The 20,295-nt window shown below is 47.0% G+C and overlaps 1 long non-coding RNA gene across 1 annotated transcript; it reads left to right on the forward strand.

The window, feature by feature from the left end:
* The first annotated feature begins 6,895 nt into the window (after positions 1–6,895).
* On the forward strand, positions 6,896–10,430 carry LOC124903369 (uncharacterized). The gene is made up of 2 exons (XR_007064317.1): positions 6,896–7,045; positions 10,090–10,430. It is a non-coding gene; the product is annotated as an uncharacterized LOC124903369 (long non-coding RNA).
* The last annotated feature ends 9,865 nt before the right edge of the window (positions 10,431–20,295 follow it).

Genomic DNA, 20,295 nt, shown 5'->3' on the forward strand with positions numbered 1-20,295 from the left:
CCAGGACAGGGACCCCTACAGAGCACGTAGCTAGCAGGAGGGCCTCCAGGGGTTGAACTTCTCATGTCCCTACTGAGGCCCGGGTGGACTCAAGGCCAAGGTTGGGTCACACATTTTGCTGAGGCACTCAGGGAAGTCACGGAGTACACGTGGCATCTACTATAGAAAAATTAGCTAGCTACACAGTTCCCAAATTAAATGCAGCCTGATGTAGTCTCAGTTGGCTGGTGCACAAAGTAATATTTGTTCCTCTCCAGTCCTAATATTATGATCCTATTAACAAGGGAGCATTACCTAAAAGGCTGGGAGAAGAGCCCAGAGATGCTGGTGAAGGCAGCCAGGAAGCCCTGCTAGCGCCCAGCAGTTGCAGCCAGGGATCAAGTGCTATGCTGGACGCTATGCATGTGGCTTCTCTGGAGCCAGATCATCCCTGACTACATGCTCCCGATAACCACCACCAACCATAAGTCCTTCCCCTGCATGCTCAGGCTATTTCCCATCTCTTTTCTGCTAGGCATACCCTCCTTTTGGAGGAGCTCAGGGAAGGAAGGGACGGGGGATAGCTCTACGTCAACTCCTGCCTGCCTAGGGCTCTCTCCTAGACCATCATAGATGAACACGAGTCAGATCATGCATCTTACTGGATGTGTGAAAACAGAGCCCTAACTTTCACCTTGGGGCCTTAAAATAGATACAGCCCTCACAGCAGGAGGTCACTATTTCCAAAGGACTGACAGTTGCTTGTTCGAAAGATAATTACTTAACTGGGCATGGTGGTGTGCCTGTGAGTCCTAGCTACTTGGGAGGCTGAGGCAGAAGGATTGCTTGAGCTCAGGAATTCAAGGCTGCAGTGAGCTGTAGTCACACCATGGCACTCCAACCTGACAGAGCAAGACCATGTCTAAAAAAAACGTTTTTTTATTTAAGAAAAAAAAAAAAGAATGACCTACTTGCCATATCCCTAAAAATGCATACATAATATCTTGGAATAACAAGACAGAGATGATTATTACTTGATGATAGGACTACTGAAAACAGTTTAAACTTTTTTTCAGTTCTTTTTGTTTTCAGGTTTCATTCCACTGGGGATATTCAGTCACATCACTGTGCTTCTCCTTGAAATCATTCTGTTGTGTGTACTTGTGCCACCAACTGGATACATGGTCAGGCTCATTTGTTTTATTTTGCTTTTGATTTTCCAGGATTTCTGTTTTCCTTCTATTTTGATTTCCTTTTGTCCTGTATCTAAAAGATTCTGGGAGAGGTGGGCTTCAGGATCAGATGCCAGGTTCTGTTTCTCTGGTTCTTCCCTGCTGTGGGACTTTGAAGAAGTCACTTTAATTCCATGAGCTGAGTGTTCTCACCTCTAAGCAGAGTGATCACACCTACCTGGCCAGGTGCAGGGGGTGAAGTGGAGTCGGGGCAGGGACTTAGTCTTGGGAATGACACTGAATAACTAAAATACACTGAAATAGCTGGGCGCAGAGGCTTATGCCTGTAACCCTAGCACTTTGGGAAGCCGAGGCAGGAGGATTGCTTGAGACTAGGAGTTCGAGACCAGCTTGGGCAACATAGGGAGACCTCGTCTCTCCAAAATAAAATTAAAATATCAGCTGAGGTGGTGGCAACACACCTGTAGTCCTAGCTACTCAGGAGGCTGAGGCAGGAGGATCACTTGAGCAGAGGAGTTTTGAGTCTGCAGTGAACTGTGATTACACCACTGTACTCCAGCCTGGGTAACAGAGCAAGACCTCATCTTCAATGAATAAATGATAAATGAATAAGATACACCGAAACACCAGAGGAAAGGCCTGGTTTGGTGTCCACTGGCTACGAAATGCTCATTCTTCCTCCCTTTGAAGCAGCCTCCAGCTTCCTGTGCTGTGTCCAAGGGCAGAGACAGGGCTGCTGACCGAAACTTAGAGTCCTCCATGCAGCACAGCAAGGGGTCTGGCCAGACTTGGGGCCGCCTCGGAGGAGTCGTGCCATCCATTCTGGACACTCCATTCTCCTGGGAAGCCTTTGACATGCCCCGCTATCCTGCTTCCAAGGACAGGGCGGTGAGCACCAGTCGTGTTGAGAGTTCTTACGCCTTGCTCAAAGCCACATAACTTATGAAGGATAGAACTAACTCCTCATCTGGCCCTTGGCTGGAACTTGAGCTCATGACTTTCTCTCTCTGACCCTGGGCTTCCCCACAGGTAAAATGGAGACACGTATAGTGCCCGTGTAGAGAGGACACAGTAGGGTACATCGCTGGTTGCCTGGGTTCACTTTCCAGTCTTTCCACTTCTGGCTGGATGAATCCAGGCAAGGACATGACACTCTCTGTGCCTCTGTTGCCTTATCTGTAAAACAGATGATCATTGAACCAACCTCATAGGCTCATGGCAAAAATTAAATTTGTCTATGAATGCAAGGTGCTAGCTAGCCTAGTGCTGGAATAAAGCAAGCACTCAGTATTCATTAGCTATTATTTTACTGAGGCAATTCTTGTTATTAACACCTCATGGCACTGCTATTTCTACTGTGGTTTGGTTTTCTTTCTTTCTTTCTTTCTTTCTTTCTTTCTTTCTTTCTTGTTTGAGACAGGGTCTTGCCCTGTCACCAGGCTGGAGTATAGTGGTGCAATCATGGCTCACTGCAACCTCGAACTCCTGAGCTCAGGCCATCCTCCCATTTCACATTCTGGAGTAGTTGGGACTATGGGACCACCACAACCAGCTAATTTTTGTATGTTTTTATAGAGACATTTTGCCAGGCTGGTCTCGAACTCCTGGGCTCAAGCAAGCCACCCTCCTTAGCCTCCCAAAGTGCTGAGATTACAGGTGTGAGCCACAGCACCCGACCTGTGTCTTCTTTTTCTTTGTGTCTCTGGTGCCTCTGGAGTGCACTTCACCTCCCCCCTGATCTCAGCCCCCGCCCTGTCTTTCTCCTAGATCATTGGGAGGCTCATGGTAATTAATGCATGCAGAATCACTACACTGACCTTAAGGTGCAATAAAAACTTAACTTTTGTGAATAAATGATTCATCTCCTCAAGACAAAGTATTGTGCCCCTACTTTGTGCTAAGTTTTGTGGCAGGAGATACAATTAACTCTGGATCAAATTTATTCTTCAGGGATCTTGAATAAAAGAAACCAGATAGGTAGACAATAGATTTCCACTGAATCTTCAGAAGAACTTTCTGAGATGTGGCTGTTCCAGTGCTGATCTTAGTTGAGACAGTGGAGTATGTAAGAGCTGGGCCACCTGGGCTCAAATTCCATTCTCGTCACTTACCTGCTGTGTGGTTTCAGGAAAGCTACAGAGCCTCTCTGAGCTTCAGTGTCCTCGTCTGTGAAAGGGGATAACTAATGCAGTCTAGCAGGAATGTGCAGCCTGGAATGGCCTGCCTTGAGACCCAGGAAGTGGGTGAGGGCCTCTGTCCCTGGAAAATTATAGACAGGGAGGACAGGCATATGGCTGGTTAGTGTGGAAGCAATCCCTGCCCTGAGCAGGGGTCTGCCCAGGTGAATTTAGAGACAGAGGCCTCTGAACTCCTGAGAGCTTACAAATCCATGGTCCAACCCTTGAGGAATGCTCAGGCTAGGGGAGGTGGGAAGTCACTAACACTGAGGGAGAAATGGTCAACGTCATGAGAGCATCACAAAGAGGTGAGGTCACAGGTTGCAAGGATGGCTCTTGAGCGAGAGGGCATGTGTGAGCATCTTGAAGGACAGTTTGGATTTAGACCTTCAAGTATGTGAAGGAAGGACACCTGGCTGGATGTGGAACAGTCTGGTCTATAAATAGGGACTGTCAAGAACAGCTCCATTTCCTGGGGCTGTAGGATGGAACAGTGTAGGGTGGGGGCTGACACAGCTTGAATATCAAGCAATGGGGTTTGAACATTTGCTGGGCACTGGGACTTCCAGAAGAACCAGCCTGGTCCTACCTTAACTGCTTTAAGCAGAACCAAAGACCAACTGTTTAAACCTTTGAGCTGCCCTCACTTTAGATCTGAAAAGAGCTGTCTGCAGTCCCCTGTGCCTACAGAATAAGGTTGTTGTGCTAGGGCCAGATGTTTGCATCTTACCTAGCTTGTTATTTCTTTATTCTAGGTTTCTTTGAGGGATCCAGACCACTAACAGGCTGGCATCTGTGGGTTGGTAAGAGGGAGGGTGGCCTGGGGGAGAGGGACACCACCAACAAAAACAGGCTCTTTCACTCTGGGGATCAGGTGCTCCTCAAACTGAGGGTGCAGGAGATAGCCACTAAGGTGCCACAACACAGACTCCTGCTTGAATGACAGCTCCAATAAGGATCTAGGAAGCGGTGTCAGCCTGCGGATGGGACTATGCAAATCATGGACCACAGGGAGGTGTCTTTGCAGAGATGTGATTAAATCCTACTGTATCTTGGCTCAAAGACCTCTGGGATCTGGGATAAGAGAGTAACCCCTGCCCTTTAACCTCCCCGGTCACCTCTCTCTGTCTTCCTCAATGCCTGACCTAACTCATCCTGGGCACAGCTCCAGCTCTGGAAATCATGGCAGTGCTTTGCTTTCATTTCATTTCATTTATTTTTTGAAACAGGGTCTCACTCTGTTGCCAGACTGGAGTTCAGTGGTGTGATCTTGGCTCACTGCAACCTCGGCTCACTGCAACCTCCACCTCCCAAGTTCAAGTGATTGTCCTGCCTCAGCCTCCCAAGTAACTGGGATGACAGGCATATGCCACCATGCCTGGCTAATTTTGTATTTTTAGTAGAGATGGGGTTTCACCACGTTGGCCGAACTCCTGACCTCAAGTGATCCACCCCCCTAGGCCTCCCAAAGTGTTGGGATTACAGGCTTGAGCCACCATGCCTGGACTGCTTTGATTTTAATTCAGCTGAAGAGTTATTTTTAAGAACCTCCCATGTGCCAGGCACCAGGAGAGGGGCTTTCTCTACTTTATTTCTCTTGATCCTTCCAATAAACTGAAGAAGTAAAGACGGACATGGTGGCTTGGCTGGGTGCAGTGGCTCACGCCTATAATCTCAGCACTTTGGGAGGCTGAGGTGGGTGGATTACTTGAGGCCAGGAGTTCAAGAGCAGCCTGGCCAATATGGCTGAAACCCTGTCTCTACTAAAAATACAAAAAATTAGCTAGGCCTAGTGGCGTGCGCCTGTAGTCCCAACTACTCCAGAGGCTGAGGCAGGAGGATGGCTTGAGCTCAGGAGTTCAAGGTTGCAGTGAGCCAAGATCGTGTCACTACACTCCAGCCTAGGCAACAGAGTATAACTCTGTCTCCAAAAACAAACAAACAAACAAAAATAAAGAAAATTAAAAAAAAAACACAAAAAGAAGAAGAAATAACACCACCTCTTTTTTCCAGATGAGAAAACCGAGTGTCAGAGAAGGGAAGAGATGTTGCTGAGTAAATAGCAAAACCAGATTTTGACTCTCCAAAGTCCATACAGATTCTTCTTATCCCAGCCTTGCTCACTTGAGTGCCTACGATGGGGTTGAAAACAGTCTCTGCGCTGCCTGGCTCTGTGACATTGGACAAGTCACTAGTTCCACTAGGTTCCGGTTTTCTCATCTGTAAAATGGGGATAATACTATGAAACTATCTCATAGGGCTGATTTGAGAATCAAAGAATAATTATATGTAAAATGCTCTAAGCAGCGCCTGATGTGTAGCAGCTGCTCTTATTTATTTATTTATTTATTTATTTATTTATTTATTTATTTTTCGTCGAGCAGGGCATGGCCTCCAGCTTGGTGCCAACCCCCAGTCATGTTCTAACCTGACTTCAAAATGTGTGGTGCTGGCTCTGCCACTTATCCACCATGTAACTTTTGGAGAGTTGCCTCAGTTTCCCCATATATCAAATGGGGATGAACTAGATCAGTGATTCTGAACCCTAGTGGAGTCCTATGAGCCTCTGAGGATCTGAAGGGAACAGTGGATACTGTTCAGAAAAAATCTTCATGGTGCTCTGAGCTTGTCTTGGCCGCCCAAAGCCTGCCTACAAGCCTTCCAGGACTTATGGACTCCCCAAGTTCCATCCAGCTCTGGTAAGAAGGGGAGGGCTATGGGTTGGGGGGGTCACTGAACAGCTCCGGGTGTCCCTCTTCCCCGCAGTTTGTCTTTTTCCTTCCTCCCTTTCTTTATTTTCTAATTCTTAAACCTTCTTAAAACTGTAGAGTTAGAAAATGGATGCTGAGGTAGGAGGATCACTTGAACCTGGGAGGCAGAGGTTGCAGTGAGCCATGATTGCAATACTGCACTCCAGCCTGGGTGACAGAGTGAGACGCTGTCTCAAAAAAAAAAAAAAAAAAAAAAAAAAAAGAAAAGAAAAAAGAAAAGAAAAGAAAGAAAGAAAGAAAAAGAAAAGTCCAAATTCCAGGGCAGAGGGGCTAACTAGACTGGACCTTCCACCCACACACCCACCCTCATTTCTGCTTAAGGTTTTCTTGGTCTCTTCCTTTGCTCAGAAAAAGCCTTCCTCAGCGGTGGGGTGGAGGGGAGGGCATGTTTATGAGAAAAACAGCGTAATCCACACCAAGGGAAGAGGCAACAGAGAAACCCAAGCTGTGGGGAAAAGCTCCCTGCTCTATCTGCCGGGGCGGTGGCCAGCTGCCTGTGTAGCAGACCATCTCATCCACCGGGCGGTGGCAATCAGCGGGGATTTAGCTGAGGCCATCCGGGCAGGAAAGCAAAAACCAACCCCACCAACAGAAAACAATGCATCCCAAAGCCAGGCCTGCGTCACCGAGGTGTCACCACCCCATAAAGGAGGCCAGTGAGACGCCTGGGAGCCCGCGAGTCCCGTCGGTCGGGGCGCGAGGTGGAGCTGTAAAGCCCTCTGGGCGCGCTCCGTGTCCTCCCGCGTCCCTCCCGTAAATGGTCCCGCCACTTGGCAGTCTGCTCTCGCCGTTTTTATTTGGGGTCGTCCCCAAAGGCCACGTGGTGGGGAAACAGGGCCGGGGACACAATGGTGGCACAGTGACCAGCCGTCCGGGCCCTGGCTAATCACTAGAAACACCTGGAGGAACTCGTTGAAGGAAACAAGTAAGAAAATCCCTCCGATTAGTATTGCAGGCTTCTGGTGGTCCTGGCTAATCTCTTTCAGGTGGAGGGCCCGGTGGGGGGGCCGGGCTGCCTCCCCAGTCCCGGAGCCCGGGGCCTGGGGCCGGTGGCTGGAGCGTGTCAAGTCATGAGGTTTGTAAGGCTGGTCAGAAGGTCTGTGGCGGCAGGTGCCCTGCGAATGCCAGGCGCCATGGAGAAAGCCGAGGTGTGTGCGGGAACCCCATAAAAGAGATCAAGCTATTTAACAGCCACCCCCGATTTCCACAGGGAGTTACCCCCACCCCACCCCCATCCGCTCTCAAAGCAGGTCAGGAGGGAGAACAGCAGAATGTCAAAGCTGAGATGAATAAATCTCTCGGTGCTCAACTTCTCAAATAACATAAGCAAACACTGATCAGTTTTGCCCATTTCAAGAGTACTGCATGTTTATGGTGGAAAATTAAGATAATACGTAGATAAGGAAAAAAGTAAAAAGCACATAGTCCCACCACCCGGAAATAATCATGTTTAACATTTGAGGCTTCTCTTTTATTGCCGTATACATATAGTGGAAGTTTATAAATGTTATGTAAATGTTTTCTTCCCAAATAGAATTTACTCATCCCTATATCTTTTTTTTTTTTTCTTTTTTGAGACAAAGTTTCGCTTCTGTTGCCCAGGCTGAAATGCAAGGGCGCAATCTCCACTCACTGCAACCTCTGCCTCCTGGGTTCAAGCGATTCTCCTGTCTCAGCCTCCCAAGTAGCTGGGATTACAGGCGTGTGCCACCACACCCAGCTGATTTGTGTATTTTTAGTAGAGAGGAAGTTTCACCATGTTGGCCAGGCTGGTCTCAAACTCCTGACTTCAGGTGATCCACCCACCTCGGCCTCCCAAAGTGCTGGGATTACAAGCGTGAGCCACCATGCCCAGCCTAGGGTTTGCACACTGCTGTTTCCCTCTTAGCTTCATCTCACATGTCATTGAGAAAAGTCCATTTATCCAAGCCTCCATGGTACAAGAAAGTTTGTTTGGGCCCTCAGTGGGAAAATGACTCGCTGAGGGTCATGCGACCATTTGTCACAGAGCTGCGATTTCTAGGTGTGCTGCAGACCAACAGTCTGACCTCAGACCTCCTTTGGACACAACCATCTCATCAGTAGGGCAGTCGCCTTTCACATCTGGAGGGAAGGCCCCATCAGGGAGGGCGTTCGAAGGTGCTGGCAAGGATTTCTGCCAGCAGGCACTACTCCCATGGGCCTGAAGTTCATCATTAGAGAGAATTTGCACTTAAGGCACTGTTCCCCTACATCTTTGGAAACTTCCATGGATTATATGCAGCCACTTACAGATTCTCTAGCACCTTAGGGTGAGCTACAACCCAAATAATCTAGCTGCTGTTTGTTCAGCACTGGGGAGATGCTGCTGAAAAAGACAGAGCTGGCTGGGCGCGGTGGCTCACACCTGTAATCCCAGCAGTTTGGGAGGCCCAGGCGGGCGGATCAAGAGGTCAAGAGTTCAAGACCATCCTGGCCAACATGGTCAAACCCTGTCTCTACTAAAAATGCAAAAAAACTAGCTGGGCGTGGTGACGTGTGCCTGTAATCTCAGCTACTCGGGAGGCTGAGGCAGGAGAATCCCTTGAACCCGGGAGTCAGAGGTTGCAGTGAGCCGAGATATGTCACTGCACTCCAACCTGGCAGCAGACCGAGATTCCATCTCAAAAGAAAAGAAAAGAAAAGAAAAGAAATGACAGAGCCAGGGCCTGCCTTCAGGAAGTCGTCATTCTCATGGCCACACGACTTCTCAGACAGCCTCACGGCTCAGGCTTCTGCAACTGAGGCTTTGCAGTCCTGTGTGAACTTGCGTACATCACTGCCTCACTCTGTCTCAGCATCTTCTTCAAGGGAATTGGTGATGACACCCACGTTTCAGGGTCATTATGAAGATAGGTGAAATGTGGACTGCAGAGTGTCCCTACTGATGAGGAGGAGCAGGGCACCCGGAGTGGGCAGGTGCAGGAGGAAGAGGGAAATGCTCTCCACTTTCCCTGGCTCTGGTTTTATTATACAATCCGGCATCTTGGAGTTCAAGGGACTTTGGAAATGACTCCTTCCCCAGTTTTCTAACTGAGGCCCAGGTTGCTAAGCAGAGATGCAGATCTATATCCTCAGAGTAAGAAATCCTGGCTCTAGCAGGAGGCATCAGGGGCTGCCTGCCTGTAGCAAAGGTTCTGCAGCATCCCTCTCCCAAATCCCCAGTCTGGCACCATCATCACCACCATCACCCTACGTTGCACTCATGCATACATATGCCCCCACACACATTCACAGGTGCACACTCTCCTACTCACATGCGCACACTAACACAAAATTACCCATGCACACGCACACACACTGACTTCAACAATACTACCTGCATGCACACACATACTCACGTGAGCACACACCTCCCCCCTCCACACACACCCATGTGCATGTACTCTCACACACACACAGACCTGTGGGCGCACACCTACCTACACACACCCACACGCCTACCCACATGCAGCCACACTCATGCATGCACACACACCTGCCTGTGCACACTCATACATTCTAAGATACACCTACCTGTAAGCCGACTTGCACATGCACATACATACACACTCAGCCATGTGTGAACACACACAAATGCAAACCTGTATAAAAAGGACACAGGTACTTTGTACACTGAATTTATTGTGAGAATTAAAATGCAATGGTTAGATGCCCAGGAGTCCTTGCTCTGTCACTTACTAGCTGGGTAGTCTTGGGCAGGTCACTTCCACTCTCTCTGCCTCCGTTTCTGCATCTGTGAAATGGAACTATTAGTAGCACCTCCCTCAGAGATTGTTGTTGAAGATCGCCTGGCACAGGGCATGGTACACAGCGAGTGCCCAGTAAATGTCAGCTATTAGTAGTGCCCTGTGTCAGCCAAAACTTTTTGGTCTCTGGAAGCTTTCTTTTCAAATTTGCAATGACTACATTTCCTCAAAAATCTGTATGGTGTGTGTTTCATGTTTATAGAGGCAAAATACAGCATTGACCTTGCACCTACTGGGGGAACAGAAAACTCAGGTGGCTGCTCTGACAAAGTTCCTCCGACTTCCAAGTTGTAGGGGAGGGGTGATCCAGCGCGCTTTCCCCATCCTCCACGTCACTCCCCGCTCCACACAGCGCTCTTGCTTGGTGATCTCACCCTTTGTCGACCCAAGAACAGTCATCGCATTGTTTCATCCTCAGCCTAACTCGACTCCCCTTACATTTTTACCGCTAAATTGAATCTACTGCCAGTAATCTAATTTACATTTGAAGGCACACACAATGCCAACACAACCAAATGCCAATAAAATTTCTAGTAAAACCCATAAATGGCTTGGTGCTTGTGTTTATGGAAATCTTAGCCTGCTCCTGCCTTAAGAACCCCACAGCCCAGAGTCCCAAATCACTCCCATATGACTGCGAGACACTCTGGATGCCCCTGGCAACGGGGGATGAGGCCTTTCTCCAGGACCTCAGAGGTGCTGCCCCGGCCAATGGAAGCGGGTGGGAGAGGGCAGGACCGGGGGTGGGGTGGCTTCGAGTCAGGTGCACACACCTGCTGAAGTCAGGACAGCACCCCCTGCCTCTCCCCATTTTGCCCCATCTGCCTCCCTTTGGCCGTGCACTCCAGGCCACTTGCAGAAGTGACCACCTCACTCGGGTTTCTGGAATGACAAATGAGAGAAAATTACTCTACTTAATAATTCGCTCTCCCCTGCTGAGTCACCCTGTCCCATCTGTTGGGCACATTACAAGCATCCCATAGACTCATCAAAGCGTAGATTCTCAACTTTGAAAGAAACTCCAGGAGAACCCAGTCTTTCTTTCAATAATGGTTTGAATCATGATAAAAATCAAAGCAAGTACCTACTGAGGATTGAGACTGCGTCAGGCACTGCTCTAAGCACTTCACATATATTAACTCAGTGAATCCTCACAGCAGCGCTCTGTGGCAGGGCTTTTGTTATTTTCATGTAACTGATGATGACACAGAGGCACTGTCACTAGCAGCAAAGATGGGGTTTGCACTTTAGTCATTTGACTCCAAAATCCACACGCTTGGCTACCATGAAATTCTGCCTCTCATCTCCATGGAAGAAGCACCTACTATTTGCTAGATTAGGGACCAAGTCCTTTGCATATCTTGGCCCTGAGCTCTGCAACAGGTCCGCAGTACAGTACTGCAGGTCCCAGAGAACGGAATCACGCTGAGGACAAGATGAGCTACATAATTTTTAGGGACCAAGGAGAGTAAAAATTCAAGGCCCCTTGTTAAAAATTTATTAAGAATTTCAACACAGCAGCAGCAGGTCAGAAAGCCAAGTATGGGTGCTGTGCACTGCCCACAGACATCCACCTTGTGGACTTGCTGGCCCAGCTTTTGATTGTTTCAGGACCTGAGGTTCAGAGGGCGGAGTTAACCACACTCCTCAGTTCATGGCCATGGGTCCCCATTGGCCATGCTAGGTTCCTGTCTGGATTGATGAATTGATCAATGTAATCCCTTTTTACCGCATTTCCCACCTCTACCCTTCCCATTTTGTTAAAGCATGTTTTATTCGTTTTATATGCATGTAATATTACTGCACATAAATACAATCATGCTATAGATACAGTGCTGGTTCTTGTTTTTCATTCTCTATGTGTTCATGCTCTATGCTCCATGGAGCTATGTGTCTACCTCTGATGCTCATGGTATTCCATAGTGTGTGCCTCTAGAGTGCTTTTTTTTTTTTTTTGAGGCGGAGTCTTACCCTATCATCCAGCCTGGAGTACAGTGGTGCAATCTCGGCTCACTGCAACCTCTGCCTGCCAGGTTCAAAAGATTCTCCTGCCTCAGCCTCCTGAGTAGCTGGGACTACAGGCACACACCACCACACCCAGCGAATTTTTGCGTTTTTAGTAGAGACAGGGTTTCACCATGTTGGCCAGGATGGTCTTGATCTCTTGATCTCATGATCTGCTCACCTCAGCCTCCCATAGTGCTGGGATTACAGGTGTGAGCCACAGTGCCCAGCCACTTTCTTAATCCATTCCCCAGTGATGCACATATAAGTTGCCTCCAGTGCCCTTAGACCTAATCAACGATGTGATGAACATCCTCTTAAATATCCCCTTCTGGATGTGTGTTTGGATTTCTCTGGATCAACACTGGGGAGTGGGATTGCTGGGTCATAGGAGATAGATAGAATTAATTTGATTGAGTCCTGCCAGGTGACCTTCCAGGATGATACTCCAAGGCCAAGCATGAAGGCTCCTACCTCCCCCCACCATGTCAGCACTGTGCTCTTTCCTGACTTCTTGTTCTTCCTAATCTGGTGAACGTAAAGTGATATCACATTGCATATCAATTTCCAATCATCGAGTTACTAATGAGAACATCCTTCTCATGCCTGTCGTCTTTGGGGCTTCTCTGGTTGTGTTAACTGGTTCGTGTTCTTGCCTACTTTTCTATTGGGATTCTCACAGATTTACAATGTGGCAGATTTACAATGTGGCAGATTTACAATGGTTAATTATATATTCCAGGATATCCATTCATTTTTATTTATTTTATTTTTTTGAGACAGAGTCTCACTCTGTCGACCATACTGGAGTGCAGTGGCACAATATCGGCTCATCGCAACCTCCCCCTCCCGGGTTCAAGTGATTCTCGTGCCGCAGCTGCCCAAGTAGTGGGATTACAGGTGTAAGCCACAATGCCCAGCTAATTTTTGTATTTTTGGTAGAGAAGGGGTTTTATCATGTTGGCCAGGCTGGTCTCGAACTCCTGGCCTCACGTGATCCACCCACCTCAGCCTCCCAAAGTGCTGGGATTACATGTGTGATGTGCTGCACCCGGCCTCAGTCCATTTTTAATATTAGACACAACATACATTTTCTCCCTTTGTGTCATTTATCTGTTAACTTTGTTTACGTTACCCTTCATTGAACAAAACTCCTTAATTTTGATGTACTCAAACTGATCAGTTGTTTTTCCATGTGGTTTGTATTATAGGGGTATACTTTGGAAATTCCTTCTTTGTTCTAGGTCACCAAAATACTCTCCCATAATTTCCTTTATTATACTTATGATTTGTCTTTCACACTTAGACTTTTTTCATTTATGGTTCAACTTTGTTTACAACATTAGTTGGGGATCGAATTCTATTTTTCTCTATGTAGCAAAGCAGTGTTTCAGATGCTGTCTCCTAAACAGTTCTTCCCTTCCGTTGAAATGTTGTGTCCTCTTTAGTGGATATGAGGGTCCTATCTACACATGCCTCTGTCTCTGAATTCCCCCTTTGCTTCCTTGTTCTGTCACCCAACACCTGTTTCATTTGTGATACGACTTGGTCGGACATAAACCTCAGACCATGTGAGATGCTCCTCTCTGCTCTTCCTTTACTCCACTGATTCTGCTACTCACAAACCTTTGTTTTCCAAAACATATTTTACAATAAGTTCGTTGAGTTCTTCAAAATACTCAGCTGGAATTTAGATTGGGATTGAGTTGGATGTTTGCATTAATTTGGAGCAAGTTGACGTATTTTTTAAAGTGTTTTAAGAATAAAACTTTTTTTTTAAGAAACGGTGCGCTTTATTTTTAGTTTACTTCCTCAACACTTTAAGGCTTTATTGCTCTTAAGAGTAATTAAATTGTATTTTCTGATGTGTTTATTTTTTTATTTATTTTTGTTGCCCAGGCTGGAGTACAGTGGCACAATCTCGGCTCACTGCAGCCTCTGCCTCCAGGAATCAAGTGATTCACCTGCCCCAGCCTCCTGAGTAGCTGGAACCGCAGGTGTGCACCTCCACACCCAGCTAATATTTGTGTTTCTTGTAGAGAAGGGGTTTTGCCATGTTGCTCAGGTGGGTTTGGAACTCCTGAGCTCAGGGGATCTGCCTGCCTCGATTTCCCAAAGTGCTGGGATTACAGGAGTGAGCCACTGCCTATTAGTTATTTCCAATAACATAATAAGTACCTGTCAATCACAGAAGACCTTAACAATACCAACCATTTAACAATACAGTCCTTCCTCCAACCCCACCCCTCATCTTGCTTTAAACTGATCCCCTTCTGTTCTGCTGAGGCATCTCTGTAGGAGCTCTTCTAATGGACATTTGACCTTTGTCCTCCTGTGCCCCTGACCTCACTATCTCAGGAGATAGCTTCATCTACTCTTGGATAACTTTACTGCTAGAAAGCAATTCTTTAGATCGACTCTAAAATGACTCTCGGTAGCATTTCTAGCAACTTTTGGCTACCCAGAGAATGTTGCACCCAGTTCAACCATCCCAGGACTGGTCTTTGACCATTTTAAAGACATTACTTTTGGGATTTCTTCTTCTTTTTTTTTTTTTTTTTACATTTGAGTTTTCTCTTCTTGAAGTTACTCATTCTCAGATATTCCTCCAGCTGCCCTCATGTGATTCCATCTCAAGTCCCTGGCTCCCTCTTCTCTGCACCTTTCCAGGCTGCCAGTGCTTCTTTTATTTTATTTTATTTTATTTTATTTTTTGAGACAGATTCTTGCTCTGTCACCAGGCTGGAGTACAGTGGTGAGATCTCACTGCAACTTCCACATCCCCGGTTCAAGTGATTCTCCTGCCTCAGCCTCCTGAGTAGCTGGGACTGTAGGCATGCAACCACCACACCCAGCTAATTTTTGTATTTTCAGTAGAGATGAGATTTCACCATGTTGGCCAGGATGATCTCAATCTCTTGACTTCGTGATCTGCCTTGGCCTCCCAAAGTGTTGGGATTACAGGCATGAGCCACCAGGCCTGGTCCAGTGCTTCTCTTAAATATCAGAGCTCAGACTTGAAGACAATTCTCCAAGAATAATAAAAACAAGGTTGAGTGGGAGAAAATAACCTCCTTCATTTAAAATATTATACATCCATTTATGCAACCTGAGCAGGCATTAGCTCCCTTAGCCAATACCTTAAAACAGGAATCACCTTGAATTAACTATTGGCCAAAACCATTTTTCTGCACGCAAATTCTAACTTCTTATCTTGTCTTTGAGTGGTTGAGACAACTGGCTTCTTCCTTTCAGCTGGGAGACTTTCTCTCCAACTGTTCACTTCCCTTCATTCATAAACTCAATAAATATTTATTAAGTAATTACTGTGTAGCAGACCTTAGAGTTACAGGAGAGGACATACCCCATTGCAGCCCGTTCTCCGTGGCAAGGATTCATGAATTTTGCTTCCAGAAAATTAAACGAACGTGAATCCATTTATTAATTCATCCATTTTACAAGCATATATTGAACCTCTACTGTGGGCAGATACTTCCTCCACTCCCTTTTGTCCACTCCCGTGGGTGAGGAGCAGTAGAGGAGAGGGAGGGGGAGCAGAGCCTGGGCTTTTGGTGAAAGTCACATTCACTGACCAGAACCCAGAGCCCGCTCCCAAGCCTGAGAGTCTCCCAGCAAGATGCCTTCCTCTCTGGCCCCAAGAGTGTGACACCCAGACCCTTGCTGGCCCTTCCACCACTTCAAGGGGCACTGCTGAACCCTGGGAGAGCAGGGAAAGCCTTATCAGTGTCTCTGGGAGAAAAGTTGTGCTCAAATCTGAGACTTTCCCTTCCAGCATCTCTGCCACTTGGCACAGGAGGTTGGAGCTGCCGGGGCCAACGTCCCATAGGACACACGTGGAAAGTGAGGTGTGTAAACACCACGCAGTGAGGCTGGGGCAGGGGGCCTCAGCTCACTTTACCCCCCAAGTCAAAGCTTCCTGCATGGAGGTTGTGGAAGGGCCAGGGGTGGGACAGGGATGTGGGCCTCCTTCTTGGGCTGGACATGGACAGCAGCCCTGAAGAGCCAGAGTGGTCCAGGGAAGTGAGGGGTTCCCACAGGGGGTGGTGAGCTCTGAGCATGGGAGAGGATCTCAAAGAAGTGGGAGAGGCCAGTAACAGGAAGCTACTGCACCAGGACAGTGACCAGAATCTTCAGGCGTGGGCTCTGGGACACACTGGGGAGGACTGAGCAGGTGGCCAGGCAGATCAGAGAGTAACGTGTTGGAAGAGACACAGTCGCCTCTTGTCTAGGAAAAGTTCTGCTTGGACCCACTCTCTCCTGCTCCCCTCTGCAGCCCCTCTGTGGTCCAGGCCACCTGTGGTCAGCTCTCCACGCATCGTTCTTCTCGGCAGCCTAGCACCTTCCTGCGAAAGGGCAGGACACAGGTCAGCAAAACTGCCTGGCAGCTTGTAAGAAATGCAGAACCTCAGGCCTCACACCGGACCTACCAAATCAGAATTTGCATTTTGTTTTGTTTTGCTTTGTTGGAGACGGAGTCTTGCTCTGTCGACCAGGCTGGAGTGCAGTGGCGCGATCTCGGCTCACTGCAGCCTCCACCTCTTGGGTTCAAGTGATTCTCCTCCCTCAGCCTCCTGAGTAGCTGGGATCATAGGCATGTGCCACCATGCCTGGCTAATTTTTGTATTTTTAGTAGAGACCGGGTTTCACTATGTTGGCCAGGCTGGTCTCAGACTCCTGACCTCAGGTGATCCTCCCACCTCGACCTCCCAGAGTGCTAGGATTACAGGCACGAACCACCACGTCTGGCCAAAATTTGCATTTTCACAAGATCCCAGGTGCGCACTGAAGTCTGAAAAACCCTGCACCGGAATGTCAGTTCTGTGAGGGTCGGGAGCGGGTCTGTCTCATTCACATCATGTGTGTTAAGGTTGTAGAAGTACTGGGCTAACAGCAACTGTACCTGCGTGACTTGGGCATGGCATTCAAACTGTTTGTGCCTCCATGACCTCATCTATAAAATGAGAGTGATGACAATAGTTCATGCCTCAGTGGAGTTGTTGGGGTGATTAAATGAGTTGATATATAAGAAGAGTTTGCTCATGGTAATCATTATATAAGTGCTATTATCAGTACCTCCAGCCCACCCTGCTGCATTTTCCTAAACCTTCCTGGCCACAGAGCTAATAGACTCATGGTTTGGCTTTGATTAGGTGCCTATTTGGTTTTGGCATCCATTGTTTCTTTTTGTTTGTTATCCATATATTACAATGATATAACATACAACTAAGGAAATTGTGGGGCTGAGTGCAGAGGGCGGTACATTGCCCACCCCTTTACCAACCAGCTCTTCTCTTCCTTACGTGCTCATACTCTTTATTAGTTAATGCATTTGTCAAATATTTATTGAGCAGCTATTGCATGCCGGGCATCATTACAAGTGCCTGACTTACAGCAATGAACAAAGCAGAATCCCTACTCCTCACCCTTATGAACTTTCGAGTCTTAACAAAAGGAGACAGAAACAAAGGTATAACAGATAGACAGACAAGATAATTTAATGTAGACTCAGGGTGATATGCTGCTATTTTTCACTCATATATCAGATGTGTTTTGCATGTTGTCACAAAGCCTTCACCTTACCGCCCTTTTAATGTCTTCAGAATACTTGATAAACAAACACGATAGGATTTATGAAGCCCAGTGAGTGTCAGGGCTAGTGATAGATTTCAGGCTATCCATGTGACGTCACTTGAACACAGAGGTCTCTGGGGCTGGACATCTTAGAGAGTGTGTAGCTGCCCCTTGCCTTCTCAGCTTTCCATATCAGACAGTTCGGGTTGTTTTTCTTTATCCCTTCTCAGAGCACAGACGAGGTTATCTTTGTTCTCTCTCACACACACAGACACGCAAATGTCAGGAAAGAAAATTATGAATAACTGTGCTCCCAGAGCAGCAGCCAACCAGTCAGGGTTAGGGATTGATGTCTCAGTACCCCAGCACCCCATCCTTTGTGGGGTTTGTTTGTTTGTTTGTTTGTTTGTTTTTGAGATAGAGTCTCACTCTGTAACCCAGGCTGGAGTGCAATGTCTCGATCTCGGCTCACTGCAATCTCCCCCTCCCAGGTTCAAGCGACTCTCCTACCTCAGCCTCTCAAGTAGCTGGGATTACAGGCATGCACCACCACGCCCGGCTAATTTTTTTGTATTTTTAGTAGAGACGGGTTTCACCATGTTGGCCAGGCTGGTCTCGAATTCCTGACCTCAGGTGATCCACCCGCCTCAGTCTCCCAAAGTGCTGGGATTACAGGCATGAGCCACACACCCGGCCCCATCCTTTGTTAAGGGCAGTCCTCAGTGCAAATTCTACTCTACCACCAGAGTCCCCAGCACGATCCAAAACAGTAACTGGTTGATAACACACGTTTTTATAGGCCATCTTCCCTTCCCAGCCTCCCTTTCCCACTTCCCCACTGGTGTTCCCTGGGATCACCTCCCAGATAAACAACAGCGTTTGCTTCTAAGACAACCCGTGCTAATATGCCTCCCTCAGAGATAACCGTGAGGGTTGAATGGGGGATGTCTGGGGAAGTGCTGGCATTGCTTTTACTTTGACGGACAAAGAGGAAAGTCAAACAGCCTTTCCCAAGGTGTTTTTTTTTTTTTTTCTCTCTCGCTCTCTCTTAGGCTGCCAAGATCCCAAGCTCTCTAATAAGGCAGTGGTGTATAGGTTAAGGTTTATTATACATTTTACTGGTATGAAAGATGTGTAGCACACAATTTACAAACAATAAAACATACAGTACTCTATTGTAAATGCCACGCAGCCAGTTAATTCTCATAGAATGCTTCCATTGATTTTTGTTGAACTCCCATATCTATGACCAGTCTATGGTTACAATTGAAGCATGAGTGTACTTCCGTCAGGAATGTTGGATGATGTTTTCATTTATGTTAACAAGGAAGACAAAAGTGAAACAATGAAGACTTCACTCGTTCATTAATTAATGATATGAACAACTTCTTTGCTGACTTAGATAATAGTTTTCAAAGGCTGGGAGATTTATTAGATTTGGGGGCTATTCACAATGTAACAGCTGTAGCCATGACACATGTAAGTTTGTTCTACTTCAGGTTCTGACGTCTAGACGATCAACACAGCAATATAAATTAAGCCCTGATTTGTAGCATTTGCCAATTTTTATGGAGTAAATAGTCCCACTGTGGCTGATTTCAGGCTATCCACGTAGTATCACTTGAACACAGAGTTGGGAAGAGAGGCACTGTAGCACATCCTTACATATTTCCATCATATAGAGACAATAAGTCACTGTCTCTATAGCTTAGGTACTAGTAAAAGCTTAAGTACTAGTAAAATAATTAGAAAATGATGAGTTCTGAGTATTTATTACCTTTGGGGTTTCTTTTAAGTCACTAAGCTATTTTTTAAGGAAAGTTTTAGGTTCACAGCAAAATTTCACAGAAAGTAGAGATTTCCCATATACCTGTCCTCCCCACACATGTATAGCCTCCCCAAGTTCCAGGCCAGAGTGGAACATTTGTTACCATTCCTGACCCTCCACTGATACATCATAATCACCCAAATTCCATTCTTTACCATACAGTTCACTCTTGGTGGTTTACATTCTATGGGTTTTGGCAAATGTTTGATAACGTGTATCCACCATTGTAGTATCATACAAGAGTTCCCCTGGTACCTTTGTTTCTACTATAAGTTGTTTAATTGTAAATTTACATGATTTAATTGTTAATGTTGACTTTGTTTAACAACTGGCTTACAAAGTTCCTGAAATTTTAACAGCTGGTTCTCAGGGGCCAGTGGCTGCCGGCTTCAGGACACCCCGCCACCGGGTCTCCTTGGAGAACCTGAGGTCCCCAGGCTCACCTGTAAGGCAGTTTCATCTCTTCCAGGCAAAGCTGGAGCTGCTCTAGGCAGCTCTAAACTCAGAAGACCCACCTTGTAACTGGGTGGGACTAGGTCTCACTCCTTCCATTTGCATCCTTCCCCATGGCAGGCAGGACTCTCTATTCTGCCTCTTTCCACCAGAGCTGCAAGCCATGAGGTGTCTGTTAAGAACGTCTAACTTAGGTATGGGCACAAGACCTGGGACCCCACATGGGCAGCTGCACACATGGTCTAGCGACAAGGGTGGCTTCTCCAGCCTTTTATTCCTGCAGGGTGTGGATGTTTGGGTAACTGCTATCATGCTTTTGGATGGGAGGCCCTGAGTAGTTTACAATAAAAATCGAAGACAATTTTCCCCTGAGGAGGAATCATTTTCACTGGAGAGCCGTGGCCTAAAGTTTCTCAGTCCATGGGCTTAACTAGCACAGCTATTATTTATTGCCCTCCAGAGAGATTTGCCCAAAGTGTGCTGCCTTAAAGAGACAGCCAGTCAGGTGCAGTGGCTCAAGCCTGTAATCCC

This window comes from Homo sapiens, chromosome 14 (assembly GCF_000001405.40).
Source record: "Homo sapiens chromosome 14, GRCh38.p14 Primary Assembly".
Classification (NCBI taxonomy): domain Eukaryota; kingdom Metazoa; phylum Chordata; class Mammalia; order Primates; family Hominidae; genus Homo; species Homo sapiens.